This window comes from Homo sapiens, chromosome 6 (assembly GCF_000001405.40).
Source record: "Homo sapiens chromosome 6, GRCh38.p14 Primary Assembly".
In the NCBI taxonomy this organism is placed as follows: Eukaryota; Metazoa; Chordata; class Mammalia; order Primates; family Hominidae; genus Homo; species Homo sapiens.
Window position 1 is genome coordinate 163,852,807 of NC_000006.12, and position 19,971 is coordinate 163,872,777.

The 19,971-nt window shown below is 43.5% G+C and overlaps 1 annotated feature.

Annotated features, from left to right (window-relative positions):
* Window positions 13,010–13,510: an enhancer, noted in NCBI's record as "H3K4me1 hESC enhancer chr6:164286848-164287348 (GRCh37/hg19 assembly coordinates)". NCBI's record gives its function as "activates a minimal SCP1, AML or CMV promoter by ChIP-STARR-seq in naive H9 embryonic stem cells {active_cell/tissue: H9 hESC(naive)}" and the evidence as "EXISTENCE:reporter gene assay evidence [ECO:0000049][PMID:30033119]".

Sequence of the window (19,971 nt, forward strand, 5' to 3'; positions counted from 1 at the left end):
CATGCTGGGTGCATCCTGCAAGGCTTGGGAAGCCAGCTGCTCACTTTGCTCTCATTTTCCACTGTGGGAGATATTGTGGGCTGAGGAAGTCTCTTTCAGCACCAGGCCATGCTGAGTGTGATAGGGGTAAAGTGAAACTACTCTTCTTACCCTTTTTAATGCATTCACTTACCTCAAATTTTTTGTTCCACTGGGGTGCTGGAACCTCTCAGCTAGATTCTGGGACTTTCCGAAGGCATTCTTGTCCATGGATGGTTGCTGAAACCAGTGCTTCTGTGGGGCCATAAGGGCTGGATCCTCCCATGTTGCCATTTTACTAACATTACTAACAATTTCTTAATTATTAAAAGAATATGTCACAGAGCAGAGTTTGGAAAATTTTAAGTGACAGAACTCCATTTTAAAATCAAATACCACATGTTCTCCCTCATAGGTGGGAATTGAACAATGAGAACACTTGGACACAGGGCGGGGAACATCACACACCGGGGCCTGTCGTGGGGTGGGGGGATTGGGGAGGAATAGCATTAGGAGAAATACCTAATGTAAATGACGAGTTAATGGATGCAGCACACCAACATGGCACATGTATACCTATGTAACAAACCTGCACGTTGTACACATGTACCCTAGAACTTAAAGTATAATTTAAAAAAAGTAAATAAAATAAAATAAATATGGATTTTTTGCAATTGAATGAATTGTGTCTACCCCAAGATCATCTGTTGAAGCCCATCCCCCCAATGTGATGGTAATAGGAGATGAGGCCTTTGGAGAGTAATTAGGTTTAGATGATGTCATGAGGGTGGGTCCCCCATGATGGCATTATACTCTCCCTATAGGAAGAGGAAGAGAGACCAGAGCTGTCTCTCTCTTCCTGCCATGTGAGGACACAGTGAGAAGGCAGTCTGTGTCTTCTACAAGCCACGAAGGAAGTCTTCACTGGAACCCAACCATGCTGGCATCCTGACCAGAAACTGGGTGGCTTAAACAACAAAAGTTTATTTTCTGACAGTTTTGGAGGCTAGAAATCCCAGATCGAGATGATATGAGGGTTGGTGTTGGCGATTCCTCTATTTTTGGCTGATAGATGGCCACCTCTTGTTGTGTTCTCACATGACCTCTGTTCTGTGAGTGTGTGGGAGATTGCTCTCTGGTCTTTCTCTTCCTGTAAAGACACCAATCCTATTCAATTAGGGCTTCACCCTATGACCTCAGTTAACCTTCATGCCCTTCCTAAAGACCCCATCTCTAAATATAGTCACATGGGGAGTGAGGGCTTCATATGAACTTTGTGAAGACCCAATTCAGTCCGTAACAGGGGTAAGCAAATATTTAATTCATAGAATTGATGTGACGTTTACATGGTTAATACATAAGAAATGCTTGAAACAGTGCCTTGTAGAGTGTAAGTGCTTAATAATTGTTAGTTGTTTTTATTATTAGAAAATCGTGGCTTTTTTTAAAAAGTCTGATCCATATTGATAGTGCCCAAACTTTGGAAAGAGGTGGATAATTTCATGTGGTTTTACTCAGCACTATCTTAGCAGACAGAGGTCCAAGTTAGTTCCTTCTGTCCTGCAACCTGAGCCTTAACACCCCTGGGACCCTCATGGAAGTGGAGGCCAGTGGAGCTGCTCCACACCTTGAGAGCTGAGTGTGCAATTCTCTGCCTGTCAGTTTTCACTCTTCTAACCAAGAAGGTCTGCTGAACATGATGAGGAGGTGAGTTTCATGTTTGGCTTGTCCCAGTCCAGATCTGCAATTTCAGTTTTGGCAGAACAAGGCTGGTCTAAGACAGCTGGGAGCAAAAAATTCATGCACCAGTTTGGGGGCAGAAGCTGGGTTCCATTAATCTCTGCAGTCTGGGTGACCGTCTCAATGCCTAGGAAAGCAGAGAGTGTGTCAATAAATATTTGTTGAATGAATATATAATGAGTGAATGGTGGTTGAATAGTGCCTTTCTTTTAAAGATTGGTGAGATACAAAGGTTTGTCTGTAGCCTCTTTTCTCCCAAAAAAAAAAGTAAGAATAGAAAAGAAAGAAGGCAGAAAGACAAAAAAGAAAAAGAAAGAAAAGAAGAAAGGGAGAAAAAAGGAAGAAAATAGGAAGGCAAGAAGAAAGGAAAGAAGGAAGAAAAGGAGGAGGGGGAAAAGAGGAAGGGAGGGAGGAACACAGCTGTCTTAGAATTTGGGAGGAACACAGCTGTCTTAGAATTTGGGAGGAACACAGCTGTCTTAGAATTTGCCACTCTGGAACCTGGCTGTCATGGGCTTACACTTGCCTCACTTATCATATATGTCACCCAATTAATTATTTTCTACTTTGACATCCACTCTTGTATGCCCCCTGGGCTGTGCTGAGACTGGCTCCACCCAGATCTTTTTGACAAGGAAGACTGCCTGACTCCAGTTGAAAGGTGTGAGAATATACAATGTAGAAAATTAATCAGCCAAGGCAGGAAAAAAAAAATAGATGGAGAAGGAAAAGCTTCTTTGCTGTTTCCATTAGCATCCTTTCATTCCTCTTTCCTTATGCTTCTCTTGGACTTTTTCTAATTGTAGAACGCTTGGTGCAGAAGAAAACAGCAGTCAGAAGAGTCGACAGAAGAGTGAAGTTGGGTGCTAGTCAGGCCTGGTGATTTATGTGCCCATCTGCACGGGTTTGAATCTCTATTCAGGCACATAGTGAATTGAGGCCAGGTGGCCAAGGCCCTAGGGCAGATTGGGCAGGTAGACTTAAAGCACAGACACAAACTCGCAGACATTTACATATGTGCATGACTTTGAGAAACTTCCTTGGAGGCGGGGTAGAAAGAGTGCATTCTAGAAAGCGAGGGACTCAGGTTCAAGACTAATGCTCTTTTTGTGGCCTTTGCATGTAACATGATTTCTCAGTTTTCTCACCTGAGATAAAAATGTTGATCATCTCCAAGGACACTTGCAGCCCCTATGCTCCATAATTATGCCATGCTATTTTACCCTTCCACTGAAGGAACTTCACCACCCCCAGCAGCCGGGGATGGCAGGCAGGTTGCTAAGCCCCCACCTTCAGCCTTCCTTGGGCTGCAAAGGACCTTGTAGACAGCCCAGGCAATGAAATACTGCTCCCCCAAATAATGCAAGTTAGCAACAAAATCAGGGGAACAAAAACCTATATTGTATGCTAAGGGGCTGAGGTATCTAAAACTAAGAAAAGGGCCTTGAAGAATTGGAAATGGAAGCCCCACAGATCACGGGAGCGAGGAACATTGGGGTTCTGTTCCCATAACAGAGCTCATCCCTCCACACAGCGTGTGTGGGGGCGTTCAGATAACCCCGGCAGGTCAGACCTCCTAGATTACTACTGGCCAGGACCAGAATTTAGACAAGTTGTTGGAACACAGAAAAGCAATTTGGTATTGAAGGGTATTAAAATTACCAGTAGCTTTTAAAAATTCCTCCCCAAAATGAATAATAAAAACATTTTGGCCATTTGGTCATAAATAGAGCAGTTCAATAGCACAAGAAATCACGCCGACAGTGCAGGGAGACATAAAGGCTCTGAATTATGTATTAATATGTCACGTGAGAAGAAAAAGTGCTAAAGAAATAGTGTAAGAAAAATAAATAAAGCCACATTAAAAGTGAACGTGTCCCATTTGGTCAGTTATGTCAAACGTAAAACAACAAAAAGCCCCGTTTGGAAGTTAACATTTTTAATTTCACTGCTGCCTTCTCCATTATAAACTGTACTGAGGTGTGAATAGACCCTGGGCTGAAACATTGATTTTTATGTCTACATTGAATATAAATACATTTTTAAAGAATGTGCAAGGTAGGACATGTATAAAAATATTAAATTGGAACTGACAGTCCTCTTGCCATCATTATTTCCTTCAAGAAAGACCACATTTTACTGGGACCTCTGATCAGCAGGTGCTTGGAGGACCTGACCCCAGGCTCTGATCTAGAATGGACTGTTCTGAATATGCCTAACTTGGGCCTTAATTTTCTTGTCTGTGAGGTTAGTGTTAGGTATATTTTCTTATTTATTATTATTAACGATAGCAACAACACAATTACCGCTCCTGTAAAGAAGTGCATTTATTGAAGTAAATACCCCCATATATTCAGAGACAAAGTCCAAAATACTAGGCTAGGGCTCCACATTTTCTGGAAATTTAGAGCCTGCTTTTTACAACATTGTCTTGAAGAACCACACAAATCTCATACATTTAACTTTGCTGTGTTTGCTTGTGCGTTTGGGTAAATCACTAAAATTTTCTGTTTTGTATTTCAAGGAGAAAATAAATGTCACATGAATAGGAAGAATGCCACATTTTGAAATACAGAGTTCAGTTGCTGTGGGGATGAGAATAAGGGGATTAAGGCCCAGGGGATGCATAGATGAGGGTCTTCATTGCTCCTTAGCCTTGAGCTCCTCTTCCCCACACCCAATCCCTGTTTTTCTTCCCATCTCAGCCAAACTCTGATGTGCAGAGCTAGGAGGAACTAGGAGGGTTTGGCTGATAAGGGCTGTAAATAATGTACACCTCTGCTGTTGTCCATATTATATTGGGGTGACATTCCATCTCCATGTATTGATGGCTTAGATTTCATTATAGATTTCTTTTACACTGGAAGCTTGAGTACTACTCTGGGAAGTTGCTGGTATTGAATATACTACCTTATACTATACTTATGCTAAGCTTTTCTATTCTATCTGCAGGATACTATAATACTGATATGGTGAAAGTTGTAAATGCCATTCACATTTTTGTGAACCTCTATCATTTACCAAGCACATCCACAGGCATTATTATCTTATTTTGATTGGGAAACTTACAGGACTCCAGTGAGGCTGTTGAGGCAGGAATGCTTGAGGAGATTCTTTGTAGCTGAGGTTTACACTTCCACTTAAAAAATAAGCAAACAGGCCAGGTGCAGTGGCTCACACGTGTAACCCCAGCACTTTGGGAGGCTGAGGTGGGCAGATCACCTGAGGTCAGGCATTCGAGACCAGCCTGGCCAACATGATGAAACCCTGTCTCTACTAAAAATACAAAAATTAGCCAGGCATGGTGGTAGGCACCTGCAATTCCAGCTACTCGGGATGCTGAGGCAGGAGAAACGCTTGAACCTGTGAGACAGAGGTTGCAGTGAGTCGAGATCGTGCCATTGCACTCCAGCCTGGGCAACAAGAGTGAAACTCCATCTTAAAAAAAAAAAAAAAAAGGCAAACAGTTGGTATTTACCCCATGTTATTTTGTAGTTATACCAAGGTTAGTAATTTCCATTTCAATTTGTTACAGAGGCATTGATGGACTTCATTTAGGCTTTGAATTCTCATTACCACATAGAATTACTCACGTTCAAGTTAGCTGCATATGGAATAAGGACAAGTGGTTAATCTGAATGGCCAGCCCCCAGTGGACAAGCTGTGCCTCTTTCCTAGGCAATATTCTTAAGGACTAACGATGTTGAGTAGAAAGTATATGAGCTTCACAGGATTGGTTTCAACACCTAGTTTACTTGCTCAAATCCTTGCAATCCACTAGTACATCAGAACAGGGGAAAGTCAACTCAACCTTTGGTCCAGATTGGAATAATCAAAAATACCTACGTTTTAGTTTTGGTTTAAAATCAAGACCCAGAAATACTTGTTGGAGGTAGCAACAGGGCTGTTGAAGGAAGATTAGAATTGGAAGAGGGATATTTAAGTTTTCCCATTATATGTTAGCTTTGAGGCATTGGATAGGTCACCTGACCTCTGTATTAGTCAGTTTTCTTCTCTGTGAAATAGGACAATAAAATCGTCCTGGTTATGAAAACCTTTGTGGTCATGGGTGACAGGATCAAATGAGAAAACACATGTGAAATCCTTCTGTAAAGTATGGCACCTGAAAGAAGTGTTAATTGCTATTACCAAGGCCATGCCAGGGCTGAAGGTGAGAAATATATCAACAAGAGATGCAAACAGGGAAATGAAGTGAGCTCCCTAATGATCTGATACGACAAACACATTGCTTTCATTACCTTTATTTACATTTGACTCATGTGACTGTTACTAAGCCAGCCTTCTTGTTACCTGGCCCATATGGTTTGGCTGTGTCCCCATCCAAATCTCATCTTGAATTCTCATGTGTTGTGGGAGGGACCCACTGGGAGGTAATTGAATCATGGGGGCAGGTCTTTCCCTTGCTGTTCTCATGATAGTGAATAAGTCTCATGAGATCTGATGGTTCTTATATAAGGGGGAGTTTCCCTGCACGAACTCTTTTTGCCTGCCGCCATCCATGTAAGACGTGACTTGCTCCTCCTTGCCTTCTGCCATGATTGTGAGGCCTCACCAGCCATGTGGAACTGTAAGTCCATTAAACCTCTTTCGTTTCTAAATTGCCCAGCCGTGGGTATGTCTTTATCAGCAGTTTGAAAACAGACTAATACACTGGCCAAATCCCTTTTCTCTCTTTTGAGAAACACTGAATGCAAAGCTTTATATTCTTATAAATCTAGTTAAATAAATATATCTTATAAACAAATACACCCACACACATTTACCTGGGCAACTGATTCAATGGATATCACTATTTATTGATATGTTCATATTGCTGGGGTCTTAGGACAAATTCTGAACCACTTGTCATGTTTGCCACTATTTTAACAAACAGGATAAATAGATAAATAATTGAATTGTTCTTTGAAGTATTTTCCTTGGATGAAATGTTATTACCTAGATAGTGCAGAGCCTCCGTGGATTCTTTCAGGCTTATTTATTTATTTTATAATGCCACTGCTACTGCCATAACAGGTGTGTTTGTGAAATAGTAAAATTGCAGTTAGACAAGTAGGTTAAGTAGATAACTGTCTTAGTGTGGCCTCCGAACTATAGCGAATGCTGCAATATCCAACACACCCAAGCAAAATCCAAATTTGTCAAGATGGAGGAAATTGGTAGCAATTGCATCAAATGCTCATTTATTTTTGTATCAAATGTAGTGTTGAGTGTTTTGCCCAAGATAAAGAAAACATCAGTACTAATGACTGACGTTAATCATTCTGTCATCTCTTTGATGCTCTCCTAGAAGAGGGAGAAATGCAAAATAAAATTTGTGCAGTTGTAACAAAAAAGCAAGTGCTTCATCTGAAGTTTTGTTCACCCAAGAAATATCCTGAAAGTTTCATTTAGCTGACTAAAGAGAAAATGTAGTAAATAACTAAAGGAAAATTACTAAGAAATGCTTAAAGAAGGCTTAGGTTAGCTGCTTGGGGACTAGCAAAATAGCAATTAAGTTTATAGAATGAAGGGATTAAAAGTAACGTGAATGAAAAGTAGAAGGAAATGAACTCCGTTCTAATCTCTAAAACTGGCTTAAATAAAATGCTCATTATAGGGTGGGTTTATGAGGCACACCAGAAGCTGCAAGGATTAGGATGCATGGATTTAAAAGCTAGGAATCTACTTTTGACGATGCTGACAAAATGCTATGAGTGGGTTCCTTTCTCGGGTGTCTCTCCAGGCTGTGCAGCAGGAATTCTATTTGAAACCAGGTTACTTTTCAGTTTTGTCATCAGTATTAAGAATTGTTTTCAACTGATGCATTCGTGGGTCAAAAACCACAAAAATCTGCATATATAGCTTATGTTTATTTTTAGAATTCTCTTCATATTAGAAAATTGTACCAAACAGGATACTGCAAAAATCATTCCTGAAATAGTTACTGCAATTTGGGAATGGAAAGTAAATGAATAACCAAATGTACCTCTAATCTTAACTGGAAGGCATTTCCATAATTGACGCTCCCAGAACCTTCTGTGAGTGATGGGCTTGAGAGCTGAGGGATTTGACTTGAAAAGGCTCTGACACTGAATGATTTATGGCCGTGTTCCTCCCTGAGCCAGCGCCCAGTATCTGCTCTGCACAGAACATGACCAGGGCTACAGGGAGCGGAAACCTCATTTAGTTATACAGGAAGCCTAAACGATGCGGCACTTCAAAGATCACTGGGATCTTAATGGGAAGCCGGCACTCCCCAGAGCAGCAAGTGAGGGCAGGAGGCCCCCAGGGAGGTGTTCTGGACCACGGTTTATCTGCTCCCAGGCTGGGGCGCTGCCTCCCAGAGATGGAACTATCTTGACTAAGCCTGGAGAAAGGATCCCCTTATCTGGCAAATGCTATTGCTTTCTGTGTGTAGCTGTTTTGTCGTCTTGAATATTTCATCACTCTGCAATCATCTTCCCTTTGGTTGGCTAAGCACTCTTATTAGGCAAACCCCTTGGTGCTGAAAGATCTGAAGCCTACTCACCACTCTGTAAAATCTTCATTTCTGGTATAGAGAGAAATTTCTGCCTTGTGAGAATATATTGGCCGCATGTGGCATAACTGAAACAACTTCAAAATTGGTGACGATTCTACCACTTCCAGAAATCAGTAATTGAATAGAGAGTAAAGCAATTAGACTAGCAGACACAACTGGATTCAATCATTTGATCATTGGATCATTGATAATTTGGAATATGTATTAAATCCAACACCGTCAGAACCAAGTTCATCTTTGTACAATCTGTAATAAGAGGACTTGCTCAGTGGATAAGCCAAGCTTACCTGGGGAATGGTTAAACGCCAAGGAAAGGAAAGGTTTTGAAGTACTCACGCAGCATCCATTCAGGTAGCAGAGCCTATATGAAATTCTGCTAGTGAATACTTTTTAAACTATGTCAGGATTATTTTGTTATCTAAGAGCTATGAAATTGTTTTTTCTTAAAGTTCGAATTAATGAAGTTTCACTGAATTAATAATAAAATCTATACCAGTTTTAGGCACACTTGTATAATGAACTTAAATAGTTTCTTATACCATCGAGATCAATTTTTAACAAAAAGAATGCATATTTGTCTCTCGTTTAGTCTGTTTTATCAAGGCGAGGCGCATAAATGGGCTCTTCCTCCTGCTGGTTTGCACAGCTCCTCTTTCTCTTCGACACCCCCACGTCCTGGCCAAGCAGATGGGCATCCCACACTTCCAGTCTCATTCCAAGATGCTGTAGGCCACATGGCAATCTTGCATTCTCCTGGCTTATGTGTTCCAGAAGTCTAGACACTTGGCAAAGGCCCTTCAAGTGTGGAAAAGTTACACGGGGGAAACGCCCTGAGTCAGAAATGGCTTCCCTTCTTCAGCTGAGATTTTTGTGGACTGAACTTGTGAGATGCAGCTGAAGTGAAGAAAGCCATGATGTTGGGAGGGTCCAGAGAGAGGCTCAGGGAAGTGTGAGGAGTGTGGGAGCAACAGAATATCCCTCTCCCCCGACCTGCCACCGGCCCTGCATCTGATTCCATAGAAGGAGCAACACTCTGGAGAGGGGATGGAGTGGACACTCTGGATGGAGGGGATGGAGGAGGGAGGAGGCATTGCCGGGAAGCATGTCCCCAGCGTGGCACAGAAACCAGGCACGAACCTGGTGCTTAGGGAGTCCGAGGAAGCAGAGGGAGCCTTCGGCCCTCAGGGGCAGGAAGATGACAATGAAGAGGGCTCAGTGGAGACTCCGGTGGATCAATGACTGAAGTTCACATGGGACAATCGATGGCACAGAAGATGGCCCTTTGGATAGAAAACATTAAAGATAAAAATCTAGCTCCCCACCCAACCCAGAAATAAAAGCTCTTTGCACTATGCGAGCCCTTGAAATCAGGACGCCACATGGGAAGACAGTTGAGGGTTCATTGATTTGTCTAAGCTGTAAAAACTTTAGCTGATATTAAGTTGTAAAAACTGTGATGGTTCTACATAAATATATCTATATTTTATATATATATTTCATATATATGTATTTCCTATTAGTTCTGTCCCCTAACAGAACCCTGACTAATACAGAAACATTCTTTTGAAAAATTACAATTCTTTACATCTGAGTTTTATGGGTTGAGATGCAGAAGTGTTAAAGATGCCTACAGTTGAGTGATTTCAAATAGACTACTGTGTTTCTGCCTTCATAGGAATTAAATTATGTCCCCACAAGTGATATGTTGGAGTCCGGAGACCCCAGAATGTGGTCAGAATGTGACTGTATTTGGAGACAGGGCCTTTGCAGAGGGAATCAGGTTACAATGAAGTCCTAATGAATGATGTGGCGGGGAGTCGGGGTGGGGTGGGGGTGGTATGTGTGTGTGTGTGCTTAATCCAGTGTGACTGGTGTCCTTGTAAAAAACAGAGAAAATTTAGATGATAGGGAAGAGAACCAGAACCGATGCTCCCTCGCAGCCTCAGAAGGAACCAACCCTGCAGACACCTTGATCTTGGACTTTGAGCTTCCAGAGCTGAGACAGTAAATTTCTGTTGTTCCGGCCAGGTTTTCAGGATTCACTGTTTTTCTCTGACTAGGTCACCAAATGAGGACTATTTATTTATTTATTTATTTATTTATTTATTTATTTTCCAGATGGAGTCTCACTCTGTCACCCAGGCTGGAGTGCAGTGGCGCGATCTCCGCTCACTTGCAACCTCTGCCTCCAGGGTTTAAGCGATTCTCCTGCCTCAGCCTCCCGAGTAGCTGGGATTATAGGTGCATGCCGCCACACCTGCCTAAGTTTTTTGTATTTTTGGTAGAAACGGGGTTTCATCGTATTGCCCAGGCTGGTCTCAAATTCCTGAGCTCAGGCAATCCACCCGCCTTGGCCTCCCAAAGTGCTGGGATTACAGGCATGAGCCACTATGCCCGGCTGAGGATGTATGATTTTTTGAATAACTGTCATTCGTCCACTCCACACTCATGGGGAGATAGAAGAGTGTTGCGGTCACAGCAATGGCAGAGCAGTTTTGTGGCTCAGGCTCCTTCCCCAATTTTGGGTTTCCCTGAGAGTCACATGGCTGGGTGATCTAAATCCTCCTGGTCCTGGGGCAGGGGTTTGCCTCTGCCACCCTGCAGGTGCAGGGCCACTGTCCCACTGTGCTGCTGTTGTCTGGCCACCTGCAGTCACAGTGCCGGCATCCAGGACGCCCTCCCCCTCTCGCTTTGACATCAGGAGAGGGGCTGCCTCCAGAGCCTTGGGAGAAGGCCACTCCTACGGCCCAGAGCGGCTGCTTTGTTGTGCCAGCAAGTGTTCCCCAAAAGGCAGGGACAATGGCCTTACTCACCTGTGAAATTCTGTTCTGGACCAGCATTGTCCAACAGGAATATAACGAGAGACATAAATTTAAAGTTTTGTACTAACCACATTAAAAAAGCAAAAGAAAATAGGCGAAATTAATTTTAATAATATATATTTCTTAACTCCATAGATCCAAAACATTATCATTTAAATTTTTAATCAATATAAAGTGTCACTGAAATATTTTCGAGTTCCAGTGTGTGTTTTACACACACAGCACATCTCAATTCAAATAGCCGGGGTTCAGGTGCTCAGTAGCTGCTAGTATGGAGCTAGTGGGCGGTACACAGCCAGTGCATTTCCAGAGCAGGAAGCCACCTCCACGCCTTCTTTCCTCATGGGCACGAGTGGCTGCCCGGGGCACAGTCTAAGCAGTGTGCTTTTGTGCCACACGTGCAATTCCCCTCCAGGAAGCGCTGGGGCAGGCCCCTGCAGCTCTTTTTCCTTCAGCCGAGGTCTTTCCCCGGGACTCAAGCAAACAGCCCCTGGTAAGCGGGTTTCCTCACTACCTGCTTCTGTTTCTCATTCTATTTTTTTCTTTTTTCTTTTTCTTCCTTTTTTTTTTTTTTTTTTTTTTTTTTTTACAAAGTCTCACTCTGTTGCCCAGGCTAGAGTGCAGTGGCACAATCACAGCTTATTGCAGCCACGACCTCCTGGGCTCAAGCAATCCTCCCACCTCAGCCTCCCCAGTACAGGGATAATACAGGCAGCCACTGTCACACACAGCTAATTTTGAAATTTTTTGTAGAGATGGGGTCTCACTATGTTGCCCAGGCTGGTCTCAAACTCCCAGGTTCAAGTGATCCTCTTGTCTCGTCCTCCCAAAGTGCTGGGATTACAGGCATGAGCTATTGCGCCTGGCCTCTTTCTGTATTTTTTTGAGACAGAGTCATGCTCTGTCGCCCTGGCTGGAGTGAGGTGGCATGATTTCAGCTCACTGCAACCTCTGCCTCCCAGGTTCAAGTGATTCTCCTGCCTCAGCTGGAATTACAGGCAGCCACCACCACACCTGGCTAATTTTTTGTATTTTTAATAGAGACGGGGTTTCACCGTGTTGGCCAGGCTGGTCTCAAACTCCTGACTTCAAGTGATCTGTCCGCCTTGGCATCCCAAAGTGCTGGGATTACAGGCATGAACCACTGTGCCTGGCCCCTCTTTCCATTTTTACATGGACTTATTGTGGCTTCCCAGTGAAGTCACTGATAGGACATTATTCTGTAGCCCTGAAAGTATGGTTTCCTGGTGAACTGATTTCCATTTTGTTTAAATAACAGCAGTCTGACTGCCTATTACCTGAGAGAATCAATGAGGAGCAGGAATGTCTGATAAGGTGAGGCACGGTTTGCTTTGACAATCACCGTCCTGTTGCGAATATTTGTTGTATCTCTGTATTTTCCACCTATTTGAAGCTTCATTGTATCTTTCACTCTATCACTCAGGACGGTTCTGTAAATTCATCCTTACATGTGATTTCCTCTCTGGGATAACTCAGTTATTCTGGCTTCTAGTATTTCATTCCCTATTAATGGGGTTGCTTGAACTTTTTGTGGTGTTTCTTCCTAGTTTATTTCTTTGATTTATTGGCACTGTTTAAGTTCCTGTTTCACACTAAATTCTTCTTTCTGATTCCATCTTACATCCTGTCCCCATAATTTCCTTCTCACCAATAAATGCTGACATATGTTAACTACTGAGTCTCCCAAGCTGAACTACAATTCATTCATCCATTCATCAATCAGACTGCTGGGCCAGATTTGTTTCTTCAGTCCTAGTTTTTACCATAGGATGGAGCTTCTCAATCCTGTTTTTTCTTTCTTTTTTTTTTTTTTTTTTTTTTTTTTTTTTTTTTTTTTTTTAGACTGAATTTTAGCTCTATCGCCCAGGCTGGAGTGCAGTGGCATGATCTTGGCTCACTGCATCACTGCAACCTCTGCCTCTGGGGTTCAAGCAATTCTCATGCCTCAGCCTCCCAAGTAGCTGTGACTACAGGTGCCCTCGCCCCGCTAATTTTTGTATTTTTAGTAGAGATGGGGTTTCACCATGTTGGCCAGGCTGGTCTCGAACTCCTGACCTCAAGTGATCCACTCCCTCTGCCTCCCAAAGTGCTGGGGATTACAGGCGTGAACCACCACGCCTGGCCTCAATCCTGTTTTAGCCTTAAATTCTGGTGCACCGGAGATGGTTGGGTCTTGATCGGCTGTGATATGCTGTGCTCATTCTGTGTGGAGAGACCTCAAAGCAGAGAACAGGCACTTGGAGGTTCTGATTTCCTGTGTTGCAGGGAACTCTCTTTTCCTCTTCACACATCCAGGGAGCGGAGGGGACATACATTCCCTGCGTGGCAGCCAGAGTCTGCCCTGGCTCTTCCCTGGAGTCCTGGATGACAGGTTGGCTGGCTTTCTCCTCTCACCGTGGCTGTGGGGTGTGGGCTGCTTCTGCCTGCCTCCTGCTGGGGAGAGCGATGCCTTCCTGAGCTGCTTTCCCGTGTCCCTGAGGCTGCTCTGGGTCAGGAGTCCCTGTGCTCTCCTCTCCATAGGTAGTCAAGGAAGTAACTATGTCCTCGGGTCCAGCCACCTGGGCGACCACACCGTCAACACCATTAGCTGCAGCCTTGCGTTGTAGCCCAGCTCATTCAAGCACAGCTACCTCCAATAAGGAATTTCCCCTGTAGGGAGTGGGCTCCTTTTAATTTTACCTGTCCTCAGGCTGACCCTTTGCTCATTAGAATAGTAAAAAACACACTCCTGTGTGGAGATTTAAGATGCTAATGAGATGGCCGAGTGCCTTGGCTTATGCCTGTAATCCCAGCACTTTGGGAGGCCGAGGTGGGTGGATCACTTAAGGTCAGGAGTTCGAGACCAGCCTGACCAACATGGTGAAACCCCGTCTCTACTGAAAATACAAAAATTAGCCGAGCATGGTGGCCGGTGCCTGCAACCTCAGCTGTTCAGGAGGCTGAGGTAGGAGAATCACTGGAACCCAGGAGGCGGAGGTTGCAGTGAACCGAGATAGCGCCATTGCACTCCGGCCTGGGAGTCTCAGGAGTGAGACTGTCTCAAAAAAAAAAAAAAAAAAAAAAAAAAAAAGACAATCAAAAGATGCTAATGAGACATGCAACTTATGAACAAGCCGGGGCAGCTGCTGTGCCTGTGCAGCCAGAGGATCACCCAGAACATGTTCACCAGCCATGCTGCTTCCCACCTGCTTATGAAGAATCCCGGAGGACCCCCGTGAAGGGAGCCTCCCCTGTTTGCTGTCTCACCTCTCAATCCGCCGCTCCGACTTATTCGGGGTCCTTTCCCTTTTACACTTAGCTATCAGTGTCCTTTCTCCCTTGCAATAAGCTGCCTCCTACCCTTTCTCTACTGCTGTGTCTCTCTGGTTTTAAATGTTTTTAAACGAAGGAGACAAGAACTGAGGACTCTCAATCGCCATCAACAGAATTATTGAAATAGCTGCTTTGGAAAATTGAAACTTGCCAACTCTCAGCACCTTCCTGCCATTCCTCCTGGTGTGAGGGGACCGGCGTGCGTTTTTTGCGGGGAAGTTACCTCCTTCCAGCCCCTCTTCTTTCCCGTCTGAATCTGGGTGGGCCCCCGAGAGCCGCGCCTCTGCCTGTCCTCTCTCATGGGAAGTCTGGGACCCTCAGACCGAAAGACGACGTGCAGCTTCCACCGGGGGCGCCTTCAGGACAGGGGCCTCGGCCTCGTGGGCGCTTTAGACTTTGGTTAAACACGGTAGAAACAGACAGGGCTCCTGACGGGATCAGCAGGACGGTCTGAGGCAACAAAGGCTCCAACACCTTTGAGCTGTAACTACCTGCCACCTACGCTGCTGTGAATACCCAGACGAAGTCTCCAGACAGAACTCCCAGGCGGGAACACGGGGGCAGCTACGTGGTTTTACTCAACCCCATATGCCTTTGCTGTTACGTTTACAAATACTGAGACCAGGCGAGAGAGCTGCGATCGCTTCAGTGGAACATGTGAACAGTAAGACAAATTAAAATTGGTTCCAATTCTAAAAAAAAAGTCATAGGGCTCTTAATACAAATTTATTCTAAAAAACACACCCCCCGGTTTCCTTTCCAGGCGATGGCTGGCTGTGAGCGAGAGGGGCAGGGGCCTGGGTGAGGAGCTGGGGAGGGGTCTGGAGGAGGCACCGGAGGTGTGGGCCAGACCCCCAGAGCAGGGAGGCCACGGGAGGGGCTCAGCGCCACACTAAGAGCAATGAGAAGCGTCACAGTTGAAACAGGAATTTATTCAGTTAAAAATGACGGGAGTGAAATGGAAAAAAAATGTCTTTTAGGAAATGAGTGGGTGCAAGAACACCTCACCCAGAACTGGTCTTCAAAGCAAAATATGATATTGGAGCCTTGGCAAATCTGGTTAATTCTGATATCTGAATACTTGCACAAAGTACCAATTCTGTTAAAAATGACCAAAGAAAGCATTTCTGTTTCAGAGAGAAACAACGTAGATAGTTCCTTTGCATAATCTCTGTCTTCTGCTATTTTCCTCTTTGGGATTTCCTTTATGAGAAAACAAAATTATTTAGTTTCACATCGAACCTACTTATAGATGAGTAATTCTGAGGATGATATTTTGGCATTCATCTTTTTATTGTTACACTATTTCTGATATGAACGACACTTCAAGGTTTACACGTACATGCACAATACCTAGATATTTTTAGCCATATGTATATGACTCTAGATGTATTTAGCCATTAAATTTGGAAACCTGCAGGGCCTGAGGGGCTTCTATAGTTTACTTAGTCTTCTAAAAAAAAAAAAAGTATCACATGTTTTGTTTGAAGTATTTGCTTTCCATTTCTTTTCAGTGAAAATAACTATTTGACAAAAAAGTCATTTCATGTTTATATTTGTATAAAAATTATTAATAATAAAACAAAGGAAAATTTCTCCAGTGTAGTCTACAGGTAGCATTTCATAGGGTGGAAGTAGATGTTTTTCCTCTTTAGATTTTAAAGGGACTCATCTTTAGGCCAGGACAGCTTGAAATTTTGAAGACAACAAACTCTGAAAGTTTTAGCAAATGATAGGTGGAGAAGAAAACTGACATTTCTCACTTTATTTTTAATTAGTTAATTTTTTTGATTAAAGATTAGTTTAAAAATTAATTAATTTTTTTGCGACAAGGTCTGGTTTTGTCACCCAGGCTGGAATGCAGTGGCGCAATCACAGTTCACTACAGCCTCAACCTCCTGGGCTCAGGTGATCCTCCCACCTCAGCCTCCCGGGTAGCTGGGAATACAGGTGTGTGCCACCACGCCTGGCTGATTTTCTGTATTTTTTGTGGAAACAGGGTTTTACCATATTTCCCAGGTTGGTCTCGAATTCCTGGGCTCAAGCAATCTGCCTGCCTTGGCCTCCCAAAGTGCTGGGGTCACAGATGAGAGTCACCACACCCAACTACGTTTATCCCTTTAGGTCAGAGAATAGAAATTGGCAATGAGAAGCCGACAGATTGGACTTCTCCATCATGAGCCTTTTTATTGTCACCTATAACTTGTTCACCTTTGGAGAATTGAAGAAAATAAAATTAATTAGAGCTTTTTTTTTCCAGGATAGAATTTCTTTTTTGATGGTCCACTAATTTACATCCAGTTTTTAAGTTGGTTCTCTTCTCCCCTGAAGGAAACAGACATCTGGTCATGGAGAGGGGATATCTGCCCATGGAAAGGGGTTGAGTTAACCTAATTCTTCCTTTCCCTCCTTCCTGCCTCTATGCCCTGCCCTCCCCTCCCCCAATTTCTCTCTCTACCTGGAGAGGTGAGGTTAAATAGTTACCGTCCTCTTTTCTTTTTTGAGATGGAGTCCCTATGTCACCTAGTCTGGAGTCCAGTGGCGTGATCTCAGCTCACTGCAACCTCTGCCTCCCAGGTTCAAGCGATTCTTGTTCCTCATGCTCCCAAGTAGCTGGGATTATAGGCACCCGCCACCACACCTGGCTAATTTTTGTATTTTTAGTAGAGATGAGGTTTTACCATGTTGGCCAAGCTGGTCTCAAACTCCTGACCTCAAACGATCCACCTGCCTCTGCCTCCCAAAGTGCTGGGTTTGCAGGTGTGAGCCACTGCGCCTGGCCAATAGTTACCATCCTCTTATCCACTACAGAAAGAAATCAGTTCTGGGAAGCAATGAGGGTCTCCTACCACAGCCATGGTCAGATAGGTCACCCTGCCACAGCTGCTGGGACACAGAGCCTGGGGCAGGAAACCAGGTGTCCCCAGGTTGGTCTATGGGACAGTCTGAGAAGAAGTAGAGAAACCATTTTGAACCAGCATTAGTGGTGTGGTCCTGGTGGGGAGTGGCCTGTTGCAAGTGCCACTGTGAGGCGATGGCTGGACTGAGAACCAGATGTCACCTGATGCTTGGGAGATCTTTCAAGGCATATCACAGACTCAGCAGGCAACGCTTCCATGCCTGGGGCAGGTGGGGAATACATTGTCTGCCTTCAGGTGTGTCTTCCACCATTCTTCAGTAACAGATCCTCACATTCATGTGAAAGTGAACCCCTCTCAACAACCCCTCCATGCGATCTCAGTTGGCTCTGACCGTGGTTCCAGAAGGGGCACATGTGACCAGGCTTGAGCTGAGCACACAGCACGTTTTCCCATAATAACTGGCTTGGGGAAGGCATGTAATCTAAACTGATGCAATCACAGTGAATCTCCAGACTTTGGTTCCAGTGATCTCTGGACTCGAACTTGGATAGGTGTAAGAAACTGTAGACACATACTTGTCTCTACAAAAGGCCTACTGTCTGGGCGGGCATGGTGGTTCAAACCTGTAATCCCAGCACTTTGGAAGGCTGAGGTGGGAGGACTGCTTGAATCTGGAAGTTTGAGACCATCCTGGGCAACATCATGAGGCTCCATCTTTACAAAAATAAAATTATCTAGGCGTGATGGCACATGCATGTAGCCCCAGCTACTCTGGAGCCTGAGGTGGGAGGATCACTTGAGCTCAGGAGGTCGAGGCTGCAGTAAGCCATGATGGCGTCACTGCACTCCAGCCTGGGTGGGAGAGCAAGACCCTGTCAAAAAAATAACAACAAAAATAAAAACAAACAAACAACAACAACAACAAATCCAAGACCTACTGTCTGAGAAAGGTTCCCAGAGAGGAAATGGAGCCAAGAGCAAAAGGAAGAGAAAGTGAGTCTTGGTGTATTTAAGCCTCTGGCTCAAGTCATACCCCGAGCTTTTAACTTACATACATACGTGTTTAAACAACATTGGGTTGGATTTTCTGGCGACTGCATCCAAAGAGTATTCATTCATTCAGACTGAACCTTGAACAACACATATTATTGAAGGATTGAAGGCATCATTTTGTGGGGGCTTGTAGAGTATATATAAAGTAAAAGCTTATGGTTCCTATCTCAGGGGGTAGGGTTGCAGTCTAAACGATTGGAACTGATGTACACACGTCAGCCCATCAAATGGTTAACTCACTTTGGCTCCTCTGCTAGCTTTATGGAGATGAAGACTCAATGATTCTTTCCATCTTCTACATCCATCTTGCTGTCTGCAGTGATTGCTTTTGGCAAAGTTTAGGTCCATAAAATGCTTGTTGGCATAAAGCAACAATTTGTGGTAACGTGTTAGAGTAAGTGGCTAATCAGCATTTAACTTCTCTGTAGGAGAATTGATCACAGCAATATCGTTTTATTCTTAGAGCTTTCAACACTTCATGAAATTTTGCCAATGTATACCAAGTTTTTTTTTTTCTAAAATGCAAAGTGTGAGGGAGGCAGACAGGTTATAGGGTGTGATGGGTAAGATCATGGTTCAAATCTTAAGTCTACTCTTTTCTAATGATGAGACTTTGGCAAGAACACTTAATCTCCCTGGGTTTCAGTTTCTTCATATGAAAATGAGGCCAATAATTCTCATCTCACAGATGTAGTTTGTGTAAGGATGAAAGGCTTTCAGGCATGTAGGTCTTTAGCAAAGCATCTCACATGTAGTAATTTCATAAACTGTGGACTAAATTTTGATAGAACTAGGCCAGCTTTGGAATCCTAATGGGGATGGCTTTTAACATTATAAAATATGTCATCAACTGCTTTTTCTTTTTATATAATCTTTTAATAAATCACTTTTAAGTTGGAACAAGATTGCTTATATGGATTTGTCAATTAGGCTTTACTTATTTAAAATGATAAAATAAAACCTTTTAATATGCAAATGTGTGCAGTATAAAACATGTAGAGACAGTTCCCTCAAATACCCACCCCTTTCCCTTTCCATATTTCACATGTAGCAATATTAGTAGTTGGGGTGAATTCACCTTGATATTCTCGGATGAAGTTGAGCGTATGGGTGCTTACATGAGCGTTCAGGTATGTGAGTATGTGTATCTTTCTAAATATGTGGTTTTGCAACTGTGTTTTTCCCCAAATAGTATGTCATGGGCTTTTATAAAAATAGAACAAATATAGGCACATTTAGGTATTTTTATTTTGTTGAAATTTACAACGAAGATGTCATGGCTTCCGGCAGATTCCCACGTTTGCCAGCAGCAGATATATCATCCTGAGAACTTGGATCATCTCTGATGTTGAGCAATTTGCCAACATTCATGACCAGTTAAGTAGATTTAAATGCGTAATTGCCTCATGCTTAGGAATGCGTATTTCAGTTTAAAGATAACGTCTTAACTTCCCAAGAGTAATCTATAAAAGCATACATCTCATATTTCAGATTTTGGAAAACATTCTTTTTCCTTTTGTTTTGCCTGTGTTCAGGAGAACACTAGTCTGTTGCAGGACTTTTTTTCTACTTTTATAAGCCACAGAAATGCATATTAAAAACA